Source organism: Homo sapiens, chromosome 3 (assembly GCF_000001405.40).
Source record: "Homo sapiens chromosome 3, GRCh38.p14 Primary Assembly".
NCBI lineage: Eukaryota > Metazoa > Chordata > Mammalia > Primates > Hominidae > Homo > Homo sapiens.
Genome location: NC_000003.12, coordinates 176,166,205 through 176,176,321, shown reverse-complemented (window position 1 = coordinate 176,176,321; position 10,117 = coordinate 176,166,205). Strand labels below are relative to the sequence as shown.

Sequence of the window (10,117 nt, the reverse complement as noted above, 5' to 3'; positions counted from 1 at the left end):
TTCATAATTTCATTCTTCTAGGCCTGACTAAATGATCTGTTTTCTGTGCTCTCAGATATAAAAATTTTGCTAATGCCAAGAGCTAAAATGCTGAAACTTCATCTCTTACTAACTTTCACATTTCAATTTATTCTTTAAAGGAAAATGACACATCTTTTTTGGTCTCAGGCTACATCAGAACTAACGACTTCCCACCTCTGGGTGGGGTGAGATCCATCTCAGGAGGCAAGTGATATGACAGAAGAAAAGGTGAGACCTCCAGCATGAATTTTAACACAATCTCTGGTATAGAGGATACTAATGGCATAAACATATTGAAATGTCCCTGAATTTAAGTTGAGAAATAGGGCAACAAAAAGATGTTCTTAAAATCAACACTTCCTTTGAGTAACAATAAATAGGATATTAATTTCTGTTATTGCATAGAGTTAAAATGGTAGGTATGTATTTTAATTTAAAAAAAATATTTCCTGGGAAATAGTGAGGAATGGGGCAGTAGAATAAGTATGGCATTAATAAAGTTAACTCTCATTGGTGTGTTATTATATGTTTTATTCTTCATTCATTTAGCAATTATCTATCAAGTGTTTCCTGTAAGTATAATAATAGCTAATATTAATTGTATGCTTATGATGGTCCAGACATTGTAATAAACATATATACAAACTGACATATTCAGTCTTCTTAACAATCTATGAGATTGGTACATTTTTAACACCATTTTTTCAGATGAGAACACTGAGGCAGATGGAAATAATTGATTTTAAATTACATGTGTAGTGAATGGTGGAGCTTCAATTCTCATCCAGGCAGTCTGGCTCTGAAGTCCACTATACTTTTTGGTATAGGGATAGATAGGGGTATTTCCTCAGCTTTCAAAGAGTCTAAGCCCTAGAAAGGGATAAGTGGGATTTAGAAATTCTCAAGGAATACTGAAGAAGAATAGGAAAAGGAAATGTGAAAAAGCAATATTGCCTTCCCAAAGCTCATATTCTCCCCAAGGGCAGGGAAGGACATGTGAACAAATGCAGACATATAAATAATTAAACCTAATAAAGTGTTAGATAATGTGTTAGTGTTCTGTAGCACTCAGTGGAGGCACAGGGGAGAATGTAACCAGTCTAATCACAGGTGTCAAGAAGAGTATAAAAGTTTGAAAGTAGGTGATCCCTAGGTGACTGAGAGGGTAAGGGCACATCAAAGGGAAAAAAATCAAGAGAAGCGAGTACTAAGAAGAAATAAACAAAAGTCTGATAGAGCATGAAATGGCCTGGCAGACTGAGAGTAGCATGAACAACTTTCTGGAGCATGGAGAGTGGGATGGACATCTATTCCAATGTAGAATTTCAACATAAGGAAAAAAGGATCACTAAGGTAAAGGAATAGGTGAAATACTGTTTACTTGTCCTGCATGAAAATTCTCGGCCATGGTGTATATGTGCCACATTTTCTTAATCCAGTCTATCATTGTTGGACATTTGGGTTGGTTCCAAGTCTTTGCTATTGTGAATAGCGCCGCAATAAACATACGTGTGCCTGTGTCTTTATAGCAGCATGATTTATAATCCTTTGGGTATACCAGCATGGCACATGTAGACATATGTTTGTTACATATGTATGTATGTATGTATGGTATGTTGTGCACATGTACCATATGTATGGTACGTTGTGCACATGTACCCTAGAACTTAAAGTATAATAAAATATATATATATATATAAAGAAAATCACCAAAAAAAAAAAAAGAAAATTCTCAGCCAAACACAAATTCTCTATAAAAGGAGGGAGGGACTTTTTTAAAACCTAAGTCTTCTGTAATAGACTTCTATATACGTATATATTTGCACTATGAAGTCACTTCTGCCAATGCATAATTTATTCATTCAGCGTTTAGTCTTTCCAAACTACTGGAGTTCACTTACTATGTTCAAGGCAGTGGGCTAGGAACCTTAAAAGATATGAAGGTTAATCGTGAATCGCATGTCTCCTCTGGACACGTGAATTCTTGTAGGCACAGCTATGGCATGTTGGCTAATATCCATTCTAATAGGTTGGTGCCCATGCAAAACTGGTTGTTAAATATTTTAAATATGAGTCATGCTTGTATATAAGTTGGCTTATACAAGAGTGTGCTGAAGCGTACTCAGACAACATCATGGTGGATTTTTAAGAATTACATGAATCGTTAGTTGTTAAACACAACTGGTATTAAAAGTTAAATACTATAAACTTAAAATTAAGTAAGTTATATAAAAAGAAAGAAAATAATCACAACTAATTATTTCTTCTACATTTTCTATTATCTACAGTCTTGAAGTTATTGTTGATTGTATCTGTATTACGGAAATGCTATATAATCATATGCCACTTGCTATGCATCTTCTCCCAAATTCATATTCAGTGATGTCAGTTTGATAGCTTAAAATTACCATAGTAGGAAGATTTATGTCATGGAAATTGGAAAATCTGTATATTAGGTCTGATTATTAAACATTTATCAGCCCACCTCTGCTCATTCATAAAATAGCAATATGAAGTGTATTATCATGTGTCCTTCCCAGCCTCAGTTGGAATTTATCAGTACCCCAACCGACCATCACAAATTAGAAGCTCAAGCTCTAATCTCCCTGTTGGTAATATAAGCAAGTCTAGGATAAACCCTGTTATCCAGCATACCATGTAATCAGAGTTTTCTGGAACAATGGTTCTCAACCCTGGATATACATTGGAATCATCTAAAGGGTTTAAAAAACAATAAAATTCCAATGCCTGGGTCTATCCCAGACAATTTGAATCAGATCACCTGCCAGTGAAAACTGGGCATCCATCATCTATCTATCTGTCTATCTATCTATCTATCTATCTATCTATCTATCTATCATCTATCTATCTATCTATATTTTTTTGAGACAGAGTCTCACTCTGTCACCCAGGCTGGAGTGCAGTGGCACGATCTCAGCTCACTGCAACCTCCCCATCCCAGTTGAAGTGATTCTCCTGCCTCAGCCTCCCAAGTAGCTGAGATTACAGGTGCCTGCCACAATGCCCAGCTAATTTTTGTATTTTTGAGGAAACAGGGACCAAAGCCAATTCTTTTAGTACAGACGGGGTTTCACCATGTTGGCCAGACTGGTCTCGAACTCCTGACCTCAGGTGATCTACCCGACTCAGCCTCCCAAAATGCTGGGATTACAGGCATGAGCCACCACACCGGCCTTATATTTTTAAAATATGTGTATTTTCAAGATGATTGTAATTGTGCAACCAAGGCTGAGAAACTGCACACGAACTTACAGGAAAACTGGGTGTTGCGTGAGTAAGTTATCTTCTGCTGCTAGGAGAAGATATATTCTACCTCCCACAAAGTAAGCATGGAGCAAAACAAGTGGCTATTAGAAACTGGTCCAGAGGTCATGCTTAAACAGCAGAGGTAAAACCAGGGTTTTCTGCTAACTATCCCATCACCCTCTTTTCCCTCAGCCAGGAATAATGCCCTTTCACAGCAGTTCTTTGTTCAATAAATGCCCGCTACCACCTCCCTAGGCTGTAGACTAAGGAAGGGCAACCAGGTCAGAATTGGTTTTGGTGCCTGTTTCCTCAAAGACTTGTTATCATAGTCTTTCTTTGCTTCTTTCCAGGGAATCTATTTCAAACCCTTGAAACATAAAAGAATCTAATTTTGTCCCATTCATCAGGACAATGGGTCCTCTACTCTGCTCCTTCCTTTTCTAAGGAAGGCTACTGTTAGTCATTCCAAGGCACTGTTCTTTTCTTCTTTTCTAAGGGGACAGTGTTTTCAGTAAATCTCAGGAAGCTTATGGTCTTTTTGTTCTTTGGAAGAAAAATAACACAACTATTCTTCATAGAAAAAGTTACTTCACCAGGTAGAAAATATGAAAGAGATAAGTGTATCTGTTTTTGTCTCTCTGTACCTTCAAATCACTATTCACAATTCCACACTAGCTTATTTCTTATGCATAGGTATTATATGTCACTGCTTAAAAAAACACTCATTGTCCGTGGTGGACAAACTTTAAGATGACCCTCATGATCCCTACTTCCTGGAGTTTACAATTTCATATAATTCCATCCCCTTGAGGTCAGTGGGACTGTGACTTGCTTTTAACAAATAGAATATAGCAAAAATGATGGGATGTTCTTCCTGCGTTTCCATTATGTTATATAAAACTCTGTCTTATTATCAGACTTGCTTGAGTCTCTCTCTCCTTGCAGACTTTGAAAAAGCAAGAAACAGTCACCCAAGTGGGGAGGAAGATGCCTACCTAGTTGAGCCTCTGGATGAGAATCAAACCCTAGCTAACATGTCAATTGCAGGCTTTTCAGGTCCTTAACAGAAGATCCAGCTAAATAATGCCTATACTTCTGACCTGTGAGATAGCAAATGAATTTTGCTTTAAGCTGCTAAGTTTGTGGTAAATCTTTATGCAGTATAGAAAACTAATACGGTCACCTTTGAAATAAATTTCCAATGCTTTATTGTGGCATTCAAAGCCCTTAATGGTTGGTTCTATTTTTTTTTTTTTTTTCTAATTTCCTCTCTTGCCAGTGCAGTGACCCAATCACCTACAAAACATCCTGGCTACATTTACATTCTCATTCTCTTGCTCCTGTTATTTTCTCTGTTTAGAATTTCCTTTCTTTCTCCCTCCCTCCTTCTCTCCTTTCCTTCCTTCCTTCCTTGCTTCCTTTCTTTCTTCCTTCTTACCTTCCTAGTGAGCAACCATTTACCCTTAGAAGTCAAATATAATAACCACCTCTAGGCTGCCTATAAAAGTACTTGCTACTCAATGCCCCCTAAAGGTCAACTTGATTGATTCTTTTTTGTGGTCTCATAATATTTCCTGTGTAGCTCTCCTATGGTACTTATCATGTTATTTCCACATTAATTTTTATGTTTTTCCTGTTATAGTGTGAGTTCCCTGAGACTGGGCACTGTATATTATTTATCCGTAGATCCCCAGAACCTGGACTAGTGCTTTGACATACATCTGGCATCCAATAAATGTTTGTTAAATTGAATCAAACTGAATCGATATTCCTAAAGGTAGAGAGTTTTATTGTTTGGCACATCATAGGCATTTTAAAATGAGTATTCTGTGTATAATTGCTTACATTTTTTAACCACATTATCTATTCTGGCAAAGAATCATTAAAGGCTGTAGGCTGCTTTAATGAGATAGGGGCAATTCAGGCAACAAGAAATTACCTAATGGGTTTTGCTGATAACATTAAGGGCTAGCAATTCTACTTCGTAATTATATGATGCTTAGAGGAGGGTTGAATAAATACATAGAATCATAACATTGGGATGCAGGAGAAAGTGATCCAACTAAGAATCTGATAGAAGAATGCATGTAATTATGTTTTTGAAAGAAAGTAATACATAGAGAATCAATCCAAAGAAATGAAAAGCTCACTTCCAGTAAGTAGCACAACTCAGCATTCTGCAATAGACTAGCTACCAAAGTACTTTGGGGTTGAGTAGATAACCCCTAGAATGACCTGACAATATAATAGTGTATGATAGATTCATTGCAGGAAGTGAAAGTAGAATCTATGGAGGAGGAGGTAATCCCAGCAGTATATTAGAGATACGATTCTCAAAATCATAAAAACTAAAGGCTAAAATCTTTGAACTGCAGGTGTTGATCTCTCCTAGGTTTAAGAAGTTTTTCACTGGAAGTGAAACAAAAGAATGGTGTGATCAGTACATGACTTGAATATCTGGGCCAATCCTAAATTAAAAATTGTAAATAATGAACAACATGAGGTATGGCAAGAACCTCCCAGAATATTGCTCTCCACTCTCTAAATTTTCAGTGATACATTTCCCCAGAATTTGTTGGAAGCCCAATAGCTCCAATTAACCACTATAACCTTTGCAGAAGTGGAAAACTAAAATATTTGCTCCTCTTCTGAGGGGAATTTTGTCTCTGTTTTAATTCTGGAATGAATATAGAGACTCCTATCAATGTGAAGCTTCAGTCTAAACATGCATTTTGAGCCCTGTAACTTGCTAGATGTATCATCCTTGGCAAGCATTAAAGTTCTCTAAACTTCAGCCTCCTCATGTGAAAAACAATAACGACAACTTGTTGTACTACGGCTACAAATAGACACCTAATATCTTATTTTGGACATCAAATAAGCCTAACACATTCTGGTATACAGTAAAATACTTCAGATATATTTGTTCTTTCTCTCTTTTTTATATATTAGATTTTTGAGAGTAACTACATTAGGATTTGGATTTACTATTAAAAATTCAAGGTTTATAAAGAGCCTGGCCTCAAATGTTCAGGGTGACCTTGCTCCCACATTTTCTATGAAGCCTAAGGGTTGACCCATCTTCTCTTCTATCTCTGCTCCTATCTATCTTTTGAGACTGTTGGAATGAATCCTGGAAACATACTCTTCTTTCCCTAAATTTTTTTGACTGTTTTGAGGATGTTTGTAAGACTTTAACTGGGTTGCAATGTGGTCAACTTGTAGCTCTGATAACCAGAAACTAAGTTGAAACAAGAAATTCTTTAGGTTATATTGCTCTTTATTCCCTGGTCTGTATCTTTCTACTAAACTTGTGATGTTTTGTAGAAAACAGACTATATCAGGAACAACAAAGAATCACCAAATGCTGCACAATTGACACTGAGAGTACAATTCTCATTTGAACTAGTGACCCAGAAGTGGCAATTGTTTGCCAGGAACTCTTTGTTTAACATCAAAGCATAACAAGCTAACACCAGAAGTGTGCGGTCTTCTGCATTTTTTTTTTAAAAAAACAAAACAAAACAAAAAAAACTTCTGAAGGAAAAGAGATACAGAAGATAACTATCAGTTTAATTCTAGTTCTTATTAAAACACACATACACACACACACACACACACACACAAAGAATGTTAAGTTGAATTATTTTCCTAAATAATTATTTTGGAACAAGAAAATGATGATGACATGTTTATTATTTCCTCATTCAAGATGATAAATTATAACATAATTCATTAATTTAACTGTCTCTGAATTGCTTTAGTTAAGGTATAAAATTCTTACAACTTAAAAAATTCAACAACTTCAACTATACTATCATGTTTAATCAGTTTTTTGGTTTTATAATATTTTACTTTAGACAAATTTCAAATTAAAATAAATGAATAATACATTAATGAGATTTAATGACTCTTAGAGATGAGGTTTCTGGCACTTTCCAGAGTAAAAAAAGAAAACTAAAAGATTTATCTCAGTCTTGGCAACATGAAAATTACAGAAAGAAAATTTAGTTCAGATTAAGAAGACTTTTGTTCTTTTGTCTCCACCATTATTATCTCTGTGATTTTAGCCAAACCACTTAACATTCTGTAAAATTGAGATGTTATTTTCAGCCCGGTCTACCTCTCATGATTTTTGTAAATATTACATATACAGAGACACTTTAAATTGTAATATGTATAATATTATATGATTGTTTTTATGCTGGTTGCTAAATATAGGCTCAAATTTCCTTCATTATAATGTATTTCAACCATTCAATTTTTATTTCATAAATTGAAATCCAAGTAGATATCTGCAGAGTACAATGGAAACTATACAAGTATGTAAGGCAATCGACTTGGTAAAATATTGAGGGATCATTGCTGGAAACTACTCTTAAACCATTTCGTGTAGCCACAGCCACAAATCTTGCACCACAGACATTGATCAAGCCAGAGAATGGGGTTGTGATTAGAATGGCATACCTATGGAACTGATGGGAAATTAATTTTGGAGCAAAGATTTCCTATCTAATAAGACAAGGAGAAAAGTTTATTTGAAGTGGTGCAGTCAATTGTTTATCAGAAATTTGGGTTATAGATTCATGTAAGAATTAACTTGTTATAAGTTGGTTGGACCTGCCTCACACATTCTATTCAACACAGAAATTCAAGATAGGCAGTATTTCTTTTAATTATCAGCATGGGATATGGAAGACTTATAATAGGATTCCAGTTTGATAAATGGTATAATTTTGAAGTTATTAAGTAATGTGTGTTCTTTTCTTTTCTGCTTTTTTCTCCTTCCTCTTTTCTACAACTGTTGAGTCTATAAAAATGAAAATTCCAGTTCACTAAATCTCTCTTTAGCTAGAGATATTCTAGTCTGCAGCCTTACTATTCCATTGAGCTTTTAAGTTACTCTCTTTTACATTTTAAAACTCCATTTGGTTAGTTTGCAAATCTGTGCAACAAAACTTTATAGTTATTCGTTTTCTTCCTGTATTTTCAAGTTTGTCTTTTATTTCTCTAAATAGTAGTAAGCATAAATTTTTATAAAATACACATTTTTAGTGTCTTCTCTCTAATTCTGTTGCCTTTTTTGGGGGGTGATATTCTCACTTGTGGTGACTGGTTTCCTTGGTGCTAAAATTTTTAACTATTAGCTATTCAATTTTATTAGAAAATTATTTAGGGAAATTATTTTTGGCCTAATATTATGGTAGGTTTCCCTGGAAGGGATTAATGTTGCTTTTACCAGATATTTTGGAGCATATCTAACTAAAGGACATATTAATTTAAATGGATACTTTGAGGTTTTCTGGAGCACACAGATGGTATAAAATTGAGTTGGAAACCCATGTAAGGGATGGCTTTCAGTGGCAGGCCTTTTCCCCTCTGCTCTCCTCAACAATAAAGCATTATATATCTCAATTTATTATTTACAATAATAAGTAAAAATGACAAACAGGTTTGGGAACAAACACAATTGACTCATGGTAAGTATTCAACTCGACTGGTATGGGCATTAGTCATTAAGATTTACAGAGTTTCTGGAGCAAGTTGCTTCGTCTAGCAAGTCTGGTGAGTTTAGGTAACATAATTCTTCCTACCTTTCAGTTTGGCTGGACTCCAGGGGAATTAAGGTGAAATTACATGACCTAAGAATAAACAGGTTGGTTGGGAAACAAATCATGAAATATCTGAATTGTTGTTAGGATTTATGGGTACTTTTGAGTTGGTTATGGAAAATCATTAACATTTGTGTAGTTTTTGCTTTAGAGTGGAATAAAATGAGAGCTCTTCCTAAAACTAGTTCACCAAAATGAATAGAAATGCTTTAATTTTAATTATTTATGGAAATGTGGAGATAAAATTATCAGAGTTCTATTACAGTAAGTCGGATGAGAAAGAAAGCTTTTCAAATAAGGTAATGTTCCTGAGAGTAAATAGGAGGGGCTGCTATGAAAGTCATTGTAGGGTTTCTGTAAAAGGCACTTAGCAAATGATAGTATCTATGAGAGAGAAGAGTCAGAGATAAATAACGTCTATCATCAGTAACAAACCATGGCCTTAATCATGGGGCATCACACCATCCCAATCACTGTGTTACCAACTCATTAAGATTAAAGGCAACTATAAGGAACTAAGTGATAATAGATCAATCATCTCTTAAAGGAATGAATGAATTCTCAAAGTCTAGGACTGGAAAATATCAAGACAGAATCTGTTTTCTTGTTTTCCAACGTCAGTTCACATGAACTTGGGAAAAAACCTTCAGATAGATAGATGATAGATAAAATGAAAGACAGAGAGATTTATTTCAGCATGAGAGAGTCTTTCCTATTTGATGTTTATTTCTTTTACTTCATTAGTAATTTGTTAACAACACTAAGTATATATTTACATTGTAAAAGACATGGTAGGGGCTATATGTTAAAATGTCTGGTCAAAAGTAAATAAACTTCCTTAATTGCATTTATAATTGTTATTATGACTACTTCCACTTCCACTCTCTCTGGGAAGGTAAAACTTCTTACAGGTTAAAAAAGGAGGAAAAAAATACCCATAAAATATCTCCCTGCTTAGTAAAACAGCTGCTGCTCCTGACTGCTTCAGTTTATGGTTGAATAAAAATTAAATACATGATACCCTGAAGAAAATTTTTCAATTACATAAAATGAATAAACCATGAAGACAGAATGAGCTACCACCAACTTATCATACATTACTTTCACAAAATAATTTATATTATTTTATTTTCTTCAATCTTAATTTTAAGACAGAGCCTATAACTGTGCAATGTAAGTGGAACATTTTTATATATTAATTATTAATTATGTGACGA

General features: G+C 34.7%; 1 annotated feature.

Annotated features, from left to right (window-relative positions):
• Positions 3,403–3,981: an enhancer, noted in NCBI's record as "OCT4-NANOG hESC enhancer chr3:175890129-175890707 (GRCh37/hg19 assembly coordinates)". NCBI's record gives its function as "activates a minimal SCP1, AML or CMV promoter by ChIP-STARR-seq in primed H9 embryonic stem cells {active_cell/tissue: H9 hESC(primed)}" and the evidence as "EXISTENCE:reporter gene assay evidence [ECO:0000049][PMID:30033119]".